The 21903-nt window shown below is 38.4% G+C and overlaps 2 long non-coding RNA genes across 2 annotated transcripts in view; one reads left to right on the top strand and one right to left on the bottom strand.

Annotated features, from left to right (window-relative positions):
* Positions 1–21903, top strand: part of LOC101927967 (uncharacterized) — a 547036-nt gene that overhangs the window by 163379 nt on the left and 361754 nt on the right. The gene's annotated exons all lie outside the window — the stretch shown is intronic.
* Positions 1–21903, bottom strand: part of LOC101927948 (uncharacterized) — a 39077-nt gene that overhangs the window by 454 nt on the left and 16720 nt on the right. The window contains exons 4-5 of the long non-coding RNA NR_110287.1: positions 20102–20313; positions 15223–15453 (exon numbers count right to left, since the gene is read on the bottom strand). This is a non-coding gene — a long non-coding RNA (uncharacterized LOC101927948). The remainder of the gene's footprint in view (positions 1–15222; positions 15454–20101; positions 20314–21903) is intronic.

Here is a 21903-nt window from a genome sequence, read left to right as displayed (position 1 = left end):
ATTCTGATAAACTTCCGACACTCTAATGCTGGGTTGCACATGCCAAATGTGTTCACATAACTCTATTAGATTAACTACTTTTAATCCTGGGGTGGGCCAAGAAGACAGATTACAGAAAATTGGTACAGAAAGAAAAATAAGAAGTGAAAAATGAATTTTAAATAAAATAAAACATAAATATAATAAAAAATAAAACGTGAAAAATAGATTTACATAAATGAATTTTTAAAAGAAAGAAGAAAAACAGAATAAATGGAACAAAAAGGGATATTTGGATGATGAATAAAGTCGTAAGTCCCTGGTTTAAAGACAATCATGGTGAGAGTTCATGGATACATCCCTCTTGTAAAATATAGTAAAGATATAAAATAGGTTTGATTGTTATTCTTACGGGCACAGAAGTAGAATAGTGTCCACAACCTCTTTAATTCTTGGTGTGACAAAAGAAGTGTGCTTATTCTGGAGAGAATGTTGCTGAATCCAACACAGTTAGCATTCCTTCATACCTTCATACCTTCATAATGTTCAATATGTTTATAGAAAAAAAGCCAATAACGTCTGTGTGGATATACAACAGTGGAAGTTCCTTGACTGAGAAGGTGATGTTCTTGGTCTTATTATTAAGGGTACTCAAATGAGGTTCCGTGCAATTTAGTTCATTCTCAAAGTAAAATAGATAAAGCAAAATATGGGATCAACAAAGTAAATCAAAATACATATAAAATATGTAAATCAAAATACATATAAAAATATTAATTAAATATCTTTGAAAGATCTGCTTCCACTCTGAATAGAGAAGGCCACAAGGGAAGGCTATTCTAACAGTAAGAAAAAATGTGAAAGATGAAAAAGAATGTACATAACAATTTCAGTCCACCAGAAAGCTGTGATCCCAAGGCAATCTTACAAACTGAATTCCAATGAGTAACAAGTTACTCTAAGGAGAGACAAGTCATATTATTTATTTTTAGCTTGGGTAAAGCATGGGAGAAAACAAATGGAAGCCTTAAAAGTGGGTAAGAAAAAAGAACAGAACTGTTAAAAAAAACTTTTCAAAAGCTGGGCAAAGTCTAACATTGCAATTTAGAATTTATATGTGTCCCAGACACAGGACAGCATGCATCTACCTGCCAGGAATTTCCATACGCTTTTGTAGCATCCTTCTGGAAAACACGGGTACAAGGAAAGAGATCTAAGGCTCCCTTCATGGTACAGATATTCAGGACTTTCCAATGTGTGAGGGTAGAGGCAATATACTTTGAAAACATACATCCATAATCTGCTTGTATGTAAGGTGAAGATTGACAACCACTGATTTACAGGCATAAAACCTGCCTGTGCCCTTGTCCTCTACATGATACCAATTAATTGTGTGCTGCTTTTAAGGAAGGGTAGAAAATGTACTCACTCCCTCAGAACTTTTTATTGACACTAGATTACAAGACCCTACTGCTTGTGTAGCAGAAACATGCTTGCTCATGTCCCAAAATCCCTGCTGATTCAAGGCAGAGTTAACCTGCCACAGGTGGGAAGCACAGGAAAAGAACCTGTGCTAAGTACTAACAACCTGCGCTAAGTGCCCGTGGGCTGGCTAGAGTCTGGAGCTCATTCCATGCCTCAGTCCATTTTTGGCAGGTCCGTGAGCTGAGAATGCGTTTTTACATTTTATAAAGTATTTTTTAATTAGTGTATGTGACTAAAAGCTTAAACTACTTTCTATCTGATTATTTATGGAAAATGTTTTATAGCCTTGATTTACAGCCTATAATGAATAGTAAGCATTTTTTGTTTGCCCCTGGGAAATAGGCAGGAGTGTTATATAAGTGTTGTTTCCAAGTCATGGTTACACAGTGCCTACCTAAGACTGAGTCTAAAGAAAAGAGAACTGAGGAACTCCTATGAACTCACTATGAACATTGAATTAAGTAGCACGCACCAATGGGGAAGAGAGATTTCTTTTGTGATGTAGGTGTGCATAGTCCGCTGCATCTGGGGGATGAAGTGGAATACTGAGAAAAACTCTTCAAGCCCTCTAGGCCTCATATCAAGCACAAGCAAGCAACTTAACCCCATTTTTTTTTGAAGTTACTGCTCTGAACACAATGACCTTGAAGCATATGGTACATTGAAAGCCATCACACTAACATAGTCAGTCCTCACTATCTGTGGCTTCTTTATTTGCAAATTCATGACCTTGAAGCATATGGTACATTGAAAGTCACCACACAAACATAGTCAAACCTCGCTATTTGTGGATTATTTGCAAATTCACCTGCCTGCTAAAAATTATTTGTCATTTCAAAGTGCATGCTTGTAGCACTTTTATAGTTATTTGGGACTGCACAGAGGAGTGAAAATTTTGAGTTTCTTGATGCACGCATTCCCAGATGAGGTCAAACAGGGAAATATTCTACTTTCTTGTTTCAGACCTTATATTGTAAATGCATCCTTTCCAAGGATTACTTAATAATACAGTTTTTTTATTCTTATTTTTATTTTGGCCCCTAAGTATTGTGCTAAAGTGTGTTTAGTGTTTGGAAGCAGAAGGCTAGGATGTGCCTTACAGAGAAAATGCCTACGTTAGATTCTCTTTGTTATATTAAATAAGTTGTCTTTACACAGGAAAACAAATGAAACAAAGTCATATATTGATTGGTTAATAAAAATGTAACCAGAAGCTCTCAGGAACCTAGATCTATATTTTTCCTAGAAGCAATGGTTCGGTGTCTGGAAACATTTTAGAACATAACTACTACAGGTAATGATTACTGACTATACAATATAAACCAATTCCAGATCAGCTACAGATTTACAAGATTCCACTCCCGACACTGATATTCAGACAGAAGAAAACACATGTCAAACAGAAATATTATTTCCAGTATCTGTTCTTTTGCACACAGTGTTTAGAATTAAAATGGAAATAAGGCTATTCACAAAAATGCAAAAGAACTACAACCTATTATTAACAGATATAATAGAACAAAAAGAGACATGGAGATGGACCACATGTTCTATCAGAATGAAAACAAAAATAGCTATGAAAAATGTGTTAAATAATCTTGAAAAATAAGACAACATATTTGGAAGAGACTAGGAATTTCAGAACTATAAAACAGGGTAAAACTGAAATGGCAGAAATGAAAAACACAGTTATCAAAGGTGAATTCCTTTGATGGGATTATTACCAGAACTGACGAAGAAGACTAGTATATCAGTTGACGTGAAGATAAACAAATATAAATTCTCCAAATTGAAACATAAGTGAAAAAAGAACAAAGCATCCAGCACCTGTGTAAGAATATAAATGCTCTGTACAATATTTAATAACATAAATGGTCTGTATGATACATACATATAATTGAAACACTGAAAGCAGTGCAAAGAGAGTGAGAGAGAGAGAGAGAGATACATAATCAATTTGAAAGAATTAGAATTTTCCAGGTTTCACAAAAGTAAAAAACCTAGGTGTACCTGAAGCTCAGAGAAACACAAGTAGGATAAAATGATAATAATAACCTAGTGTATTATAGTCTAATTTCTGAAGACTGAAGATAAAAAGAAAACCTTGAAGGCAGCTAGAGAAAAAAGAAATATCACATATTATCTAAATAGGATTAAAATGAGAGCAGACTTTTCTTCAGAAACTATGCAAGTCGGAGAAATGAATCATGAGATAATCTCTAAAGCACAGGGGGAAAAAAAAGAAGTGTTAACCTAGAATTATGTTCCCAGTGAAATAACTTTTAAACATAAAGGCAAATAATTCATTTTCAGATAAACACGAAGTGGGTATTTACCGACAGAAGACATAGACTATAAGTATTGTTAAAGGCACTTCATTAGGCATAAAATTATGATACCTTATAAAAAACAAAATTTATGAAAGTAAATGAAGAACACAAAAATGTTATAACTGTGGGAAAATGTAAATAATTGTATTGGATTTTTAAATTGTATCTAAAGAGAATTGAGTAAATAGAATAAAAAACTGATACTAATAGACAATATCTAAAACAAAATTGGCAGGAGAGTGACCGCAGCAAAATGATGGATTAAGACTTTTCAGCAATTATCTCCTCACAGAAACGTCAGTTTGAACAATTATCCATCCACAAAAATACTTTCACAGAACTAAAGGATGCAGATAAGATGTTACAGTACCAAAGATTAACATGGAAATTAAAATTAATGTATTAAAAATGTTAGAAAGGACAGTTTCAGATTATCTGCATCATTCCTCTCACAAGCCTGGAAAGCACAGTATGGAGAGAGATATCCTTTGCGTAAATAAAGGAGAGTGAATTGAGTATCTGATTTCATCATAAACCCAGCTTCAGGCCTACCACAGAAAACCTGGGGACAACAGCAGCAGAAGACACGTTCTTCTTAAGCACATATGTAACAACCTCCATGATACATCATATGTTAGGCAACAGAACAAGTCCCAATAAAGTTAAGAATATCAAAATCATATCAAATATCTCAGTCAACCACAGTGCAATGAAACTAGAATCAGTAACAGGTGAAAAATTTAAAAATGTATAAATATGTGAAAAATAAACAACATATTATTGGACAACCAGTGGGTTATAGAGGAAATCAAAGCAAAATTTTAAAAATTATTGATAGAAATGAAAATGGAAGCACAAGATACCAAATGCAGCAAAAGAAATTCTAAGAAGGAACTTTAGAATGATAAATTCTTACACTAAGAAAAATGAAAGATCTCAAATAAACAATCTAACTTTAAACCTCCAAGAAGCAACTTAAAAAATTAAGTCAAAAGTTAGCAGAATAAAAGACGTAACAAATATCAGGGAAAATACAAATAAAATTGGAAGTAGAAAAAATATAAATAATCAACAAAACTCAGTTGGTTTTCTGAAAAGATAAATAAAATTGACAAATTTTAGCTTGACCCGCCAAGACAAAAAGAGGGAGGGCTTGAATAAATAAAATTATTAATCAAAGAAGAGACATTCCAACTCATGTAAAAGAAATGCAAATAATTTAAGAGACTACTGATGAGAATTATATGTGGGCAAATAGGATAACCCAGAAGCAATGAATAAATTTCAAGAAATATGCACCCTGCCAAGACTGAACAATGAAGAAATAGAAAATCTAAACAGTTCAATAACAAGTGAGAATATTAAATCAGTAATCAGAAACCTCACAACAACAACCAAAAAAACCCTCAGAACCTGATGGCTTCAATGCTGAATTCTACTAAACATTTAAGTAACAACTAATACCTATTCTCAAACACTTGAAAAACCTGAAGAGGAGGAAAAACTACTAAATTTATTTTAGAAGATCGCCATTACTCTCTCACAAAAGCCAAACAAGAACACTACAAGAAAAGAAAACTACAGGCCAACATCTCTGTTAACATTGATGCACACATTCTCAACAAATTTTTATAAATCTGAATTCAATAGCACATTAGAAAAATCAAACACCATGATCAACTAGGATTTATCCCCTTGTTGCAAGGAAGATTTGACATATGCCAATAAATTAATGTGATATATCACATTTAGAGAATGAAGGGAAAAATAATAGGATTATCTCAGTGGATGCAGACAAAGCATTTTAAAAACTTCATATCTTTTTATTATAAAACTCAACAAATTAGGAATAAAAGGAATATACCTCAACCCGGTAAAGGCCATATATGACAAATCCATAGATAACATTACACACAATGATGAAAAGTTGAAAGCTTTTTCTCCAAGATCAGAAACAAGACAAGGATGTCCACTCTTGTCCAGTCAACCTAAGGGTCCATCAAAGGAAAGATAGATAAAGAAAATGTGTGTGTTTGTTTATTTATAAATTTAATGTAATGCTAACAAAAATACTATGAGGTATTTTCACCTATCAGATGGGCAATATCCAAAAGTTTGATGACATACTCTCTTGAAAATCCTACAAGAATATAGTTGCTTGAAACATGGCTATTGTAAACTAAAAATAATACAACCCCAGTTTCAAAACCCTCGTTTTGAAAGGCATCACTCTAAACCACTCTGCAAATAATAAATTTCCTTGAACTAATCAGAAAACTGAGATTGTAAGGCAAGCGACCAAATTGAAGAATGAAATGTGGTAAGAATATAAGGTTTTGAATCTAAAATGATTGTTAGAGGTCAGAAGATTATATTTTTTTAGGAGGGAAGAAAATAGGTGTGCCTAAAGGGAACATATTTAAAGTGATTTTTTTTTCTCTCTCTCTTATTTATTTGATTTTGGAGATGAGGAAAATGGTCCAGAAACAACACCTGGGAGGAGAGAGAGAACTAATTTCATCTCTCCAAAGTAGAGAAAACACACTGATTTTAGCTAACCCCTATTAAAGGATTCCAGAACATAAACATACATTGGACACCCAGTAAAATTTGAATATCAGATAGATAAGAAATATGTTTGATACTTATGTTCCATACAATAATTGGGATATTCTTATATGAAAACAATTCTTCACTGTTTTATCTGAAGTTCAAATTTACCTAGGCACTCTGCATTTTATCTGTCAACACTATTTAGGAAAAATGTGATTAATTTCACACAAAAAAATCATGTAACTACTCATTTACACTATGAATTGTCACTCAGAAGCTTGGCATTTGAGTAATTTTTTAAAAATATATTGAGAGCAGAAATGAGTTCTATTTCTCCTGTTATCATGAGTTTATGTTACTATGTAACTTTATAATCAGACGTGTTACTAAAAAGACAAAGATGTCAAATATATTTAGTTAGATTAGTATATTATGTAAGGTTCATTGAGTTGCTGGAGAACTTGAGAATCATGACAAATTAAGCTCTTTGGCCATGTACAGAAGTAGAGGGTAGAGTTGATAGATGGGAAGGAAGCAGCTGCAGATTCTAACTTGATTTCTCAATTATATTCATTTTTCTTAGTGGCATAATGAGTATCTAGGGAATGCCTAATGCCAAGAGTGGAAAATAAATAAAGTAGAGGAAGCGTAATGTGAAACAAAAAGATCCAGAAAAGCCACATGCAACCTGAAGAAATAACTCACTATTTTGACCCTCATAATCAATGTATGGTGAAATAAAGGATTAGCAAAGGAGTGGGTACCCATACAACTTCACTCTCCATTGTAATAGGCTGCTGTAGACTTTCCAGAAGTAAATTATGTTTTAGCCAGAATTTAAATGTTATGTTCTATACTATATTTATATTTCTCTCTAAATATAGTATATATATATTTCTCTCTAAATATAGTATATATATATTTCTCTCTAAATATAGTATTTATATTTCTCTCTAAATATAGTATTTATATTTCTCTCTAAATATAGCATATATTTAGAGAGAAATATGTATGATGGTTTTAATTGTTTTAATTGTTTGGTTTAGAGAAAGCAAGACCTAAAGGTTATCGCATAGTGGCTAATATTGCTAACATAACTTGTTTTATTTTAATTTACCCTCTCTCTTTCTCTCCCTCTCCTTCCTCCTTATTCTCTCCCTCCTCTTCCTTCAGATTTTCAGAAAACATGCTTTAAAAGAGAGATTATCATTGCTTGCTATAAAATTCAGGTCTTTAATTGACTCAAGCTTCACTACACAAAAGCATAATCAATGTGCCCAAACATGATTATGCCTGCCTAGTTGAAGAATGCAACCCTTAAAGTAAGAAGAAAACATTTTTGTATTCCTAATGGTTAGTTCATTAAGAAATACTCAATGGCTGAGGAGTTGCTGATAAAATTACTGAAATTTTATAACACTGTGTCCCATTAAAAAAAAAAATCAGCTACATAAACAGCTCTGATTTTTTAAACAACAGAATCATGGTCATGCTTATTTGCTACAATTATTTGTAAGCCCATGGTAAAATAAAAAGCTTCCTGGATCTGAAAAGGAACATTGTTAGAATGATACTAAAATGATCTTAGGTTTCTGTGTCCACCTCCCTGGCCTGGCCTTGATTCAGTTGCACATGGAATCCCTCACAGGGCTTCTCTGTGGATCACATGATGAATCACTGTCTATATCAAACAGTGTTTTACTTTTGTTTTTTGTTTTTGTTTTTGTTTTTGTTTTGAGACGGAGTCTCGCTCTGTCACCCAGGCTGGAGTGCAGTGGCGCGATCTCGGCTCACTGCAAGCTCCGCCTCCTGGGTTCACGCCATTCTCCTGCTTCAGCCTCCCGAGTAGCTGGGACTACAGGCGCCCGCCACTACGCCCTGTTCATTTTTTATTTCACTGTGTTAGCCAGGATGGTCTCGATCTCTTGACACAAAGAAGGGAACAATAGCACCATGGTCTACTTGAGAGTGAAGGGTGGCAGGAGGGATAGAATTTTTAAAAAATACCTATTAGGTACTATGCTGATTACGTGAGCGACTAACCTGTACCACAAACCCCCATGACACACAGTTTACCTATGTAACTATCCTGTACATGTACCTCTACATCTAAAGTAAAAGTTAAAAAAAAAAAAAGAGAAGAAAAATTTAGGTGAGGATAGAACGCTAATGTGAAAAAGTGAATTTATAAGCACCATGTTTGATTTGTGAGGATTGACTCGCAAATCCTAATTTGTGAGTGTATCAGAAAAGATTGTGATCAAGATGCTAACCATAGATGTTAAGATTATGAATCTGTTCTCTCTCATCATTGTTTATTCTAATTATGTTTTCCACAAAGATTTAGTATGAAAATAGAATTGTATAATGACATTGTGTCTTTTCTAATAAAAAATGAATTGACCATGATTTTTTAATTTAACTTTCTCTTGCTGGTTTTGTTTTACCTTACGCCAATTTGGCATTTCTTTTCATGATAATTTGCTAAGTGGTACTTTGTTACCTAGGAGTGCATTGCTTTATGCTTCCAACATGATTCTTTGCCTTACTGATGAAACATACAAGGAAATTAAGCTATCTTCCTTTGCTTTTAGAATTAGATATTAAAGAAAAATGGCATGCGTCGTATTTCAAAGGATGCTCGGTAATAAAATTCAAGGCATCATAAAATAGCATTAGGCATTTGGTTAGAACTGCGTGTACTCAGGCACATCCTGGTCAGTTGATTTTTAAGTAGAAAACAAAAATGTTGGGCACACAAGGCCACTCTGGAGGCTCATCAGAGTCCTGCAGCTGTTGCCTGTGTGAGATGAAACTTCTCCTAGAGTTACTTAAGATTGGCAACAGTTGGTATGACTAAGGACAAGTCGATTTTCCTGCTAGCTCTCTTTATGAACCTTTGTAAAATACACTCTTTGGTTAGTTTGAAATGTGAATATGAAAAGCATGTGTTTCTGGATGAGACAGGAAATATATCTATTTCCTAAGATTGTTTTACTTATGAATTACAATAAAAAATTTTATCCACCAAACAGCAACATCATGATGAAAAAAATTTTCTACATCCTTTTTCAATTTATTTAATTTAATCATGAAATGTTATTTATGCCACTGGAGTTTTTTCATGATGACGGATTTTTACATTTTTATTTATAAAATCTCTCAGGAATAATTTCAGAAACTTAAGAAATATAACCAATTTTACTTCTTAGGATTATTTGAGTACCGTTTAATACATCATCTTGTGAGTTTATCATAGTATGTTCTATGACTTGTAAGGTTATATTTTTTTTCTCAAAGGTTTCTAAGGAAATCTATAGAGATAATTTGCACAATTAATAGAAATATACATATAATCCTTTGGACAAACACATTTTTACATTTTATTTGGTTTTTGTTTAATTTACAAAATATTTTACCATTCAAATTTTTAATCTTATAAAATAACTTGTAAATACCAAATTATTTAAGATTTATGTGTTCTTTGTATACTTTATTGTATTTTATTTGCAGCAATAAATATTATAACTACATTCACATTGATGTCATTGCATAAATATATTTCTGACAATTCCTTGTCTGTATTGTACTTTCTAGCAGATGTAGACTATCATTATAACCTTAAGAAAAAGATGCTATTTCTGTTTCTTGCAAGTTTAAGTTAAATATGTGCAGCAAAGATGGCTTAATAAAGCCAAGAAAATGTAGATTTTCTTCATTTACCTATACACATTTGAGTGTTCAATAACAGAATATGACTAAAATTTGGTGCATAGCTATTTCTCCATAGGGAATAGATCTCACCATCACTCATTATATTTGTGTATAGTAGAACTCTACAGAAAAAAAGTTGGATGATGAATGTTTATTAAAACATTTTGTGATATTTATTATAGTTGTTCATTTAAAAATTATAATTTAAATGTATTTAAATGAATGTATTGTGACCTGTAAAATGTTAAAATATTATATTTCCATTAAAGGAGAAAGATAAAATTATTATTGTAGATAATTTATGACTAATAAAAAATATGGTATTCGTCTAGCTATATTGTAGGGTACAAATTCCTACCACTTTGCATACTCTGTATGCAACACATTATAGATTGTCTAATACATGTAATAATTCATGACTACGCACTCATAATCTATGGATTTTTCCAGTTATTCAATTTATTAGTGGGAATTTATGGTTTCCCTATCTTCTCATTGAAATACTTTCTTCACTTGGCTTCACTTAAAAAAGAAAATTCTAAGCCGGGGGATGGTGGCTCATGCCTGTAATCCCAGCACTTTGGCAGGCCGAGGCGGGCGAATCACGAGGTCAGGAGATGGATACCATCCTGGCTAAGGCAGTGAAACCCCGTATCTACTAAAAATACAAAAAAAAAAAAAAAAAATAGCCGGGCGTGGTGGCGGGTGCCTGTAGTCCCAGCTACTTGGGAGACTGAGGCAGGAGAATGGCTTGAACCCCGGAGGTGGAACTTACAGTGAGCAGAGATAGCACCACTGCACTCCAGCCTGGGCAACAGAGTGAGATTCCGTCTCAAAAAAAAAAAAAAAAAAGAAAGAAAGAAAATTCTAGTTTTTCTACCTCATTGATTACTTCATTTAGTGTACTTCACTATTTTAGCTCACTTTCTCTGTCTCCAAATGGTGTCATGCCTTATTTTCTTCTCTTATTTCTCTCTTTGTTACTGTTTCTCTTCCTAATTTATTCTCTCTATTTATACCTCTCTTTCTATATCATCATCCAGTATTAGGGTTTCTAATACTTTTGACCTCTTCATTACAGACCTCTCCACTGAGCTGTAAATGTTTGTGTATTAAATTCCACACAAATATGTAATTGACATCTCAAGATTCACACATAGAAAAATGTACCAATTTTATCTCTAAATTTTCTCTTTCCACAGTCTTTCCCACATGTATAAGTGGATACACCAATCTCTTTCTACTCAAGGCAGGTATCCTGGGGACTGCATTTACTTTCTTTTTCCCAAATCTCATAACCAATACATCAGTTAGTACTGTAAGCTATATCTGCAAAGCATTTCAAGCATCTGAGTGTGTGTCTTTATCCCACTGTGCATCAAGTGCCTACCTAGTGTCTTTTCTTCTGCACTTGCTCCCCTGGTGTTTATTTTGGACACAGCAGCCAGAATAATTCTCTTAAGCTGTAAGTCAAATCTGGTCACTCATCTACTCAAACTCTCCAATGGCTTCCTATCTCTCTCAGTGAAAAATACCAAAGTCTTCACGATAGCTTACAAAGTTCTACATGTTCCAGGCTCCTGACACCTTTCTTGAGTCATCCATTTGTTAGTCTCCTTTAGATTTTCTGCTTCAGCTAAACTGGATTGTATCCCATTCTTTCCATTGGAAAGGGATGTTCCTGCCTCAAGATTTTTCATTTAAACACTATCCTATCGCTATTTGTCTTCTCCAAGTACATGTATGGCTCATCACTTTCAGGTTCTTAGTCAGTTACTCAAAGATGCTTTAACTAATCGTGTTATTGAAGTGAAATTGAAACTAACCTCCCCAAGCCCAGAAATCACATGTATAATTATAGCTTAAGTCTACTTCATAGCACATTTTCTCTTTGCCATTCATTCATTCATTCGTTCATTCATTCAATTGTTCCTTTCTTTATTCATTTATTTATTTATTTTCTTTGTCTTCTCACTAGACTATAAGCTACATAACAGCAAGAGGTTTTGTCTGTATGCTTCACTGCCATATACTAAGTACCTAGCATTCAATATATAGTAGATTATTTAATATTTATGGAATAAATAAATTAGTGGAACTTATTGGGTATAATATTCTAATTATGAAAGTTAATTTCTTCTGTATCATATCAGAGACTACTACATATATTGCTAACTATATGATCTTTATTTTTATTTTGCATTTTTGCCTAACTGCAAACTCTCTGAGAGCAAGAGCTATCTTATTCATTTTTATGTCTCCACTACAATACTGGGCCACATTCCTTGAACTTAATATATATTTATAAAGTGAATTGGCGGAACCAATTGCAAAGTGCAGGTTAGCAGAGGTAAAAATAATATAGTGTTGACTAGATACATAAGTGCTACTGAGGAAATACTAAAAAGTAATCAATTTAGGTGGTATCAAGAGCCAATTTTTTTCCAGAAATATATAATAATACCCAATTCTTTTCTTTAGCTTACAAGGTCACTTTGAGAGAAGTGAATATATCACCCTGGTGTTTACTCTCACCTATTGATACAGAAATTGCTATGTGAATTAAACATATTGCCAGGTGTAGAATGTCAAATAAATTGAAAAATATAACTTGTTTCCTGCTTATCAAGTGACACTTGTCCTTCCTTTCTATTCCTCAGCACCAGATGTAGAGGACAGCCATGTATTGTGGCCCCACACATTTCTACTTTCAAAGCACACCTCTGCCTAATCTGTTATGGGTCATGAGTACCCCTGGGTATCACCATCTTTGTTTCAAACTACTGCCATTTCTGTTTTACTACTGTTTCTGCCAGAAAGACCATTGCTGGTGGGCCCCACTATCTCTTCCTCTGGGTACAGGTACTTCTTTGATGAGTATTACTATGTTTGCTGCATACCACTTACACATTTTTGGCCCTGCAGCTAAGGAGATGCCACAACTAAAGGCTGTTGATAGATGAGTTCAGGAGAAATGCCTCTTTCCTATTTTGGGGATGTTCTCTTATACTTCAGTCTCTCATGGCTTTAAAAAAGGAATTTTTAAAACATAGATACTTCCCTTTTACAATCTGTCACAAAAAGAAACTGAAGCTGACCAGTAATTGAAAACCGAGTAAAAATATTTTACTGCGATGAAAGCTAGAAGCCACTGTTCCAATGGGAAAGTGTAGGTGGACAAATTTGTTCTGTCTAGCGGCAACTTCCCTTAGGATTTCTCCCTACTAAGTGAAAGAATCTCATCATTTTCTCATTAGACATAAATGATCAATTTTCAACTCTGCAAAGGATGCAGAATTTGGCCCAATCTAGATCCCATCCCCAATTCATAAAGTGTGTTTAATTATCCCTCTTATAAATGTCACAACTACTTTGTGAACTTGATCTCATAAGTATTGTCTTCATTTCAAAGTTTCTTTGATGTTCTAAGCATTGAAGTGATAACTGTTGAGTAATTTAGTGATAGAGTATAATTGCAAGTTTCTATATGAATAAATATAATTGCATTATTCTTTTACAAGAACTCTAAGAGGTAATGCAAGAAAAATATACTGAATGTTACAATGAATTATGTCAGGATAATTACTTAATTCCATAAATTGACTTAAAAAATTATTCTCAGTCTGAGTTTTGAATAACATAAAACATTTAAAATATATTTAGAATAGGCAATTTAAAATAATAGAGTTTCTGGCATAATTTCAGGACAAAAAGTTTTTTTAGTACAGTTTAATCCCTGATTATTTTTTAAAAATTGATTGCTTTTAAAAGGTAGTAATCTTAGAATGTGTGTAAAATAGATGATACTTCTTAAATTTTAAATATCAATAGAGTGCATAGTAAAGATGTATGATATCATAAGAACCACCTGTTCTAATAAGGAGCATTGCACTTCCAGGTGGAAAATCTGGACTCATTTCACTCAGGGGTACCAGACACATAAGAAAGGCGGCTCCTGGGAGCTGAAGATGGGAGCAGGATAAGTAGGACTGATATTAAGAGCACTGATCCACAGAGAATTAATAAGACATTGGACAGAGGTAAAAATTTAAAGTAATTCAAAAGTATAAGTTGATTGAGGAATCAACTATAAAGGACTCATGGGGAGGAGGATCCAAACATGAGAAAATTATACATAAACCTAGAATACAATTCAAAAGCCAGATGTAAAATGAACACATGGACTTAATGGGAGATATTTCCTCAGGCTGCAGCATCAGCCAGAGCTGCTTGTCTAAGGTCTCATAAGCTTCTACCAGAAGACCCACGGAAGAGCATGGTTCTCCATGGTTTTACCAATTTAATTCAGCCACAAAGGAGTTGTTTGTCATTTTTATTATTCCTTTAGAGCCAGAATTGTAGCTGCACAGAAAAAGAATAATTTCTTTACTTATGTGTATGATCATGGGTTGGAAATATTTAATTATATCAGTCCAATAGAAAAATCTGACAAATTGCAATAGGACCTTTCCGTGGTAAATGACGTCCTTCCACTCCAGCTCAAATTCTCAAAAGGAATCTTTAATATTTCCATCTCCCCAACTCGAAGTTACTCATCTAAGCTATTTGATATGTACTCACATTTATACAACATTTTAAAATATTTAATATTTTAAGAGTACGTCAAATATCCCAATCACTATGCTACTTAGGGTATATATAGATGAACTCAAACTTATATTTCTTATCAAAGAACTTAACATATGATGGACTTATCATTTTCTTCCTATTCCATAGATGGCTCTGAAATACTGCATATCTTATATGGATGATTGTGAACATACCAAACAGCTTACTGTGCCCAGCAATATTTCTCCATTATGGCCCATCTACTAATAGGCTAAATATTTGTAATATAGTATTGTTTATGTCACCTTCTATAAAGAAAATGACTGCACTTTAGTTAGGAGTAGGCTGTGGCGTCCTTCTAGAGAAGCATGACTCAGTGGGTTTCGAGTGCAGGCACATAACCCTGTACATTATGTAACCACGCCATGTGAGCCGCATTAGGTGATCACCCACATGAGCTTGTGATTGGCTCTGAGCCACTATTGTCTGTAAAAGGTATAATAAAAGCTGTACATATGGCTCACTCATGCCCAGAGAGAGAGTAAATCCATGTGAAAACTGTCTACAATTCCTCAAGTGTTTTCCAAATTACCTGCCACTTGCCCACCAACTCCCCTCGCACCTCAGTTAGAACCGACAACTGGCATTACGAAGAGGATCCCGAGGTGAGTGAGCCTTCATTCCCTGCTGCTTCTGGGCCAGCCACGTGGCTGCAACATGGGTTGTGGTACCCAGTGGCAGCTGTGCTGCTCGGATGGGCTCCGCTGGAAACCTGAGTGGTGGTAGATGGTTTCCTGCAAGCATGGAGAGAGCGCTGAAGCAGCTGGAAGTACAGAGCGTGGAGAGTGAGTGAGCTTTTGCCAGAAGAGTTGAATAGACATTTTTGACTGTGCTACAAGAAGTACACACCCAGTCCCTCAGAGACGCAGTGCAGTTCAGGGCCCTCCAGGTGCAGGCAGGGCACCTAGAGGCCTAGCTACACAGCTTAGAAAAAGAGATAGATGCTGCCGTGAATGGACACCTCCAGACATAGGCAGGGCACCTGGAGGCCCTGCTACACATCTCAGAAAAAGAGATAGAAACTGCCATGAATAGAGACCTCCAGGTGCAAGCAGGGCACCTGCAGGCCTGGCTACAGAGCTTGGAAAAGGAATTAGAGGCTGCTGTGAATACAGGCCTGGGTCTCTCATCTCAGCCAGACACCCGCACTTGGTCTGATACCAAGGAGGAAGAACCCCCGTTGTGAGCTTGCCCAGTGGTCCATCAGAAGGTAGATCATGAACAGCCATTGGGGCCCCAAAGGCAAACTCAGGGACTCTCCAAGGTAAGACAACATACCTCATATACTGCCTGTACCCCAACTGAGTTGGGGGAATGAGGCAAGCATTGCTGTTATCATCCAGGGGAACCTCTGCTTGCCTGAGTGCTTCATTTGTGGGAAGAGGGAGCAGATAGTATCTCCTGTTCTGCCTCTAAGATGGAAAAGCTGGCCTCTATCATGACTCACCCTTCCCTCCATCAGTGGTTGCAGATGAGCAGGTGGTTGGTGCAAGGGCAAGGTAACCACACTCTGACTGAGTGACTATGGGCAGCCATACAGACTGTGGAACGACACCAGTGAAATACCCAAAACCGTGAGTAAATGGCAGTTGTATGCTGATTTGGTACAAAACATCCCAGAGATGGGTATGCGATAGGCTATGTTTGAGCTGAATACCCAGGGGCCAGATGATGAACATTTCACCTCCCACATGAGGAATATCATGTTGGATTCTGCACCCCCAAGTGCCTTTGGCTCCCTAGCTGCTGTCCTCATCTCATCCTGTACCTACGGCGCTGCATACATAAAGTGACCACTGCTACGGCGGCTCTCGGGGAAGCAGAAGGCTGTCAGTGAAACAGAGGGGTCCACACTGTAAATCAGGGGAGGATATCCCTCCTGCAGGGGTCCCCACAGTGGAAGAAAAAGGAGCCCCAGTGAGTGACACACTCACATGTGTGGATAGATTTGATTTTGGCCAGGGTTGACTATGAGCAAATTGATAAGCAACCTAATAAAGTACTCTTAACTTTGAGGAGATGGTTGTCTCTGGAGGAGCAGTCCCAGAAAATGCCTAAGGGGAAAAAGGACATTGCTGTGTGATCCAGTCCCACCCAGGTGCTGTAGCTCAATGACTACTTTCTGCAGCCAGGTGAAAATATAAGGCTTTTTCTGTTTGATTAGGGAGCTGGCTGAGGTGCCCGGCTTGTGGGGACACCAGATGACCGGAGGCCACGTATAGAATTAGCGATCCAGTGGTTCCCCCACCAATGTACAGTGGATGCTGGCACTGGTGGATGCTGGTGCAGATTGCAGCCTTGTTTATGGGAACCCGGATAAGTTTCCTGGCAATCTTGCTTACGTTTATGACTGTGGAGGCCAGTCAGTGAAAGTGAAACCTGTATCTCTGCTCCTTGGCATCGTCCATTTGGCTCTCCATTTATATGCTGTGTATGTCTCTCCCATACTGGAATACATTCTTCGGGTGGGTATCTTACGTGACCTGGCATTACAAACCATGGCCAGGGAATTCAGACTCTGAGTGCATGTGGTGAAGCCAGTGCTCCGAGGGCATATGCATCATTAGCCTTAGGTCTTGCCTCAACCCCAATTAATATCATTTGCTGGGTTGGCATATGGAGATAACTGAGACAACTAAAAAGCTGGAGGAGGTGCAAATAGTGCGTGGCACCCACAGACCCTACAGTTCTCCAGTGTGGCCAGTTAGAAAGCCTGGTGAAACTTGGTGGATGACGGTGGACTATTGGGAACTGAATAAAGTAACACCCCCTTTGCATGCAGCTGTACTGTCAGTCATGGATTTGATGGACCATTTGACAAAGGAACTGGGAGAGTACCACTATGCAGTGGACTTGGACAGTGCATTTTTCTCCATAGACATCGCCCCAGAGTCAAGAACAGTTCGCCTTCACGTGGGACGGGCAACAATGGACTTTTACAGTGTTGCTGCAGGGCTATGTGCATAGCTCCACGAAATGTCATGGTCTAGTTGTCATGGATTTAGCCACCTGGCTATGTCCAGAAGTGGTCTGCCTATTACATCATATTGATGATAATTATGTTAACCTCTGTTTCTCTTGTAGATTTAAAAGAGGCAGTGCCCCTCTTGCAGCAACATTTGGCAGCATGTTGTTGGGCCATCAACAAATCCAAGGTCCAAGGGCCTGGATTATCTGCCAAATTCTTGGGAGTTATCTGGTTGCGTAAGACAAATGCCATCCAGAGGCTATCATCGATAAGATTCAGGCGTATCCCCAGTCCACCACAGTGAAGCAGCTGCAAACTTTTGTGGGCCTCCTGGGATATTGGCAGGCATTTGTGCCCTATTTGGTTCAAATGATAAAACTGTTTCATATGTTAGCAAAGAAGAGAGCTACCTGTGATTGGGATGATGCAGCTAAGACCAACTTCCTGGCAGGCAAGCAGGCTATTCAGAAGGCACAAGCTCCATGGGTAGTTTACTAGAGGTGCCCGTTTGAGCTGGATGTGCATATGAGCACAGATGCTTTTGGTTGGGGCCTGTGGCAGCTCACAGAGCACTTGAGAATGCCAGTAGGCTTTTGAAACTATGGAAGAGAGCTGACCTCCACTATTCCTTGATAGAGAAACAGCTCTGTTTGGCACCCTTCAGGCTTGTGAGAGTGTGACAGGATGGGCTGCCATCATCATGTGGATGACTTATTCGATAGCAGGATGGGTGAGTTCATGGGTAATGACCCCCTGGACTGGAATGGCACAGACATCCACTTTGGCAAAGTGTGGCGCCTACTTGAAGTAGTGGTGCATGCTGAGTACAAGCCCCTTAGTAGCAGAGTTGCAAGAGATTTTAGGACCAGTAGTCCTAATGCAAGATAAGGTCATGGGGCCTGAGGCACCCCTAGACCCTGAGCCTTCACCATTTAAGGAAGGACATCCCCCCATTCCTGATGGGGCATGGTACACAGATGGGTCTAGCTGAGGTGCTACTGCTGCCTGTATCTCTGTTGCAGCCCAATCTAGTAGTGACACCATATGATTTGAAACCAGGTGTGGACAAAGTAGCCAATGGGCTGAACTTAGAGCCGTGTGGATGGCAATCACCCAGGAGGTGACACCTATGGCAATCTGTACCAATAGCTGGGCAGTCTACTGAGGCTTAGCCTTGTGGTTAACTACCTGGAAAATACAGAAGTGGCTAGTCGGCCACCAACAAATTTAGGGCCAAGCCATGTGGCAAGACTTCTGGGAAACTGGACATCAGAAAGAGACAACTGTTCATCATATGTCATGCCATATGCCTTTGGCCACCCCGGCAATGATGAGGCAGATGCCTTGGCCAAGGTTTGATGGTTAGAGTCAGTACCTAGACAAGATGTGGCCTTGTGGCTACAGCAGAAACTGGGACATGAAGGGGGTAAACTGATGCAACAGGTCAATAAGCATTGGGCTCTGTCCCTACCCACACAAGACATTTGGAAGGCTTGTCAGAAATGCCTGGCATGTGCTCAGGCATACCCTAGATGGAGGCAGGTGCCCAGTGTTACACAACAAGTAACAATAAGGTGAGTGGCCTTGACCAGGTGGCAAGTATTGGGCCCCTGCCAAATGCAGGGGTGGCCAACCAACAGCACACCATCCAGGCCCTGCCACACTTATTCACCCTCTGGCTGTTGAGAATGATAGGGGAACACATTTCACTGGAAAACAGGTACAACAATAAATATAATACATGGACAAAAAGTGGGGATTCTATGTGTTATACAACCCGCAAGCTGCAAGTAGGATTGAGTGATATAACGGGCTCTTGAAGAATGGGTTACACTTGCATGTCACATTCTGTCTTTGTGGGGCTGGAGTTCCAGGCTGGACCGGGTGCTCCAAACCTTGAATGAATGGCCACGGAAAGGTGGCCCGTCCCCAGTGGAGGCTTTGTTACACCTGGCTGCCACCCACATTTAGTTTCAGATACACACCAAGGATGGCTCCTCCAACCAGGTATGGGGATGAATGGTAACCTGTTGCCTGCTCCAATGCCCTTGCAGGTAGGGGAATAGAAAACCTGGCCATGGCCATGGACCCTCCAAAGCCCCCATTGCCGGTGGTTGGCCATCGTAGCTGCCTGTGGGGAGAATCTACAGCATGACTTTCATGTCACTCCTTGGGTGTTCAGTGCATGGCCCCCGTGGTTGACTGTTTATAGGGAATAGCCAGGGAAGGATCCCTCCTCTAGGGGACATATGTACTGTCTGTGTGGCTTATTATGATCTCCCCCATGACTTTGGCATAGACACAGGACTTAAAGGAACCATGGGAGCTGAGAAGGTGTGGTACCATTGCCCAGGGCAGAAGCCCTTAGAGGCTGCATTGTTATCCAGGGATGAAAGGTTAGCCTGTATTTTGCCTGAGGGATGTGATTTATCTCCATTAGTACCTGTGTCTTCTCTGTCATTTCATCCATAAGTTAACATGCTCCAACTGCATTGTGGATTGGCCCCACACCTCTGCTGTGGTGACCAAGGTTTCCAACTGTTGTATCTGTACCTCCCTTCAAGCAGCAGCTGCAGATGGCTTGCCTTAGCACATACATTCAGTGCCTGCAGAGAACTGGAGATGGCTGGAGACTTGGGGTTCCATGGCCAATGCCTGTAATGCAATGTGACAAGCTTTGGACAAAGCATGCCACAAGACGCATGCATGCCTGCCTCCTGGCTGGCCCACAGCATTTATGATGTGTGGGGCTAGCTAATTGGGAAACATGTGGTACCCCCAGCCCAGGCACCACAGTGCATAGAGCAACACTGGGGCAACACCACTGTGGGGCGGGTACCCATCGTGGCCTGTGTAAACATAACAGATGTCGCCACACTGAAGGTATGGTGGAACGAGTGGCCCCACCAAGGTCAGGCCCTGATAGATTTTGTGCCCCCTGGGAGTTTATGGGTCTCTTGGGACAAAGGGTGGCTTACTTACTTACCAGTGGATTGAACTGGATGATGTACCTGAGGGTGGCCTTATGCACCTGCCACTGTCCTCCCCATGTTGCCCAGATGCCCACATAACTGGGAGGAGGTACAATGCTCTTGGATTTTGTGAGTGTGATGAGCCCCTTGGTGATTCTACCCCTTGGCAATGACTATCCCTGGCGCAGGTGCCATAATAGTAGAAGCACAAGTTACTGCTCTTGCAGAGCATACCGCTCAGATTCTAAATTACACCTGAGTGGTCCTCCTCTTGTTAAAAGATGAGGTTGACCAGGTCAGAAATGTTATGTTGCAAAACTGAATGGCCTTAGACATAATAATTGCTGCCCAAGAAGGCATCTGTGCCCTTTTAGGAACACAATGTTGTACCTTTATCCCTGACAATTGGCAGAATATAACAGCAGCCTTGCAAGGGGACTCATGAGAGATTAAGGTGGTCAAGAGCCTTACTGACGACTCCCTGCAGAGATGGTGGGAATCCCTAGGCTCTGGCCTATGCTAGGCCTTAATAGTCATAAGTTGCATAGCTTGGATCCTGTTAGTGAGCTGTTGCTGTCTGTATTGTTGTTGTGGGTTATGGATTCAGGGCTTCGCCCTATTGGCTCGTGTCCCTGCCCAGAGGAAAACCTCAGCCTAGAGGTTGGAGTGTAAGGGAATGGCTGTGCTTTAGTCAGGAGTAGGCTGAAGCAGCCTTCTAATGCAGCATAACTCAGCAAGTTTGGAGTGCAGGCATACAACCCCACACATTATGTAAGCATGCTATGTGAGGCACATTAGATGATCACCCATGTTAGCTCATGTTTGGCTTGGAGCCATTATTGTCTGTAAAAGGTATAATTATCCTGATAACACCATATATACGGCTTGCTTGTACCCAGGGAGATAGTAAATCCATGTCAAAACTGTCTATGATTCCTTGAGTGTTTTTCCAGCTACCTGCCACTTACCCACTCAGTTAGAACCTGGCACCCTCCATCCTGAGAACCTTCATTGTCTTCTCACTGACTGAACCCTGAAGACCGTATTTAACCTTCAAGACCTTTCACCCTCAAGTCCACGTTCATATTTATTTAACCTTCAAGACCTTTCACCCTCAAGTCCATGTTTATATTTTCAGACTAATCTGCCCATTTCTTACCCATAAACAATTCATCTATGGAAAAATTTTCTTTTTATTATTTGAAACTCCAGATGCTTAATGCCCATTCTCTTTTTAACAATAGCATGTTAATCTACTCATAGTCCCTTTATG

Source organism: Homo sapiens, chromosome 2, assembly GCF_000001405.40.
Source record: "Homo sapiens chromosome 2, GRCh38.p14 Primary Assembly".
Classification (NCBI taxonomy): domain Eukaryota; kingdom Metazoa; phylum Chordata; class Mammalia; order Primates; family Hominidae; genus Homo; species Homo sapiens.
The sequence above is the reverse complement of the archived record's forward strand: the minus strand, read 5'-3'. Positions and strand labels throughout refer to the sequence as shown.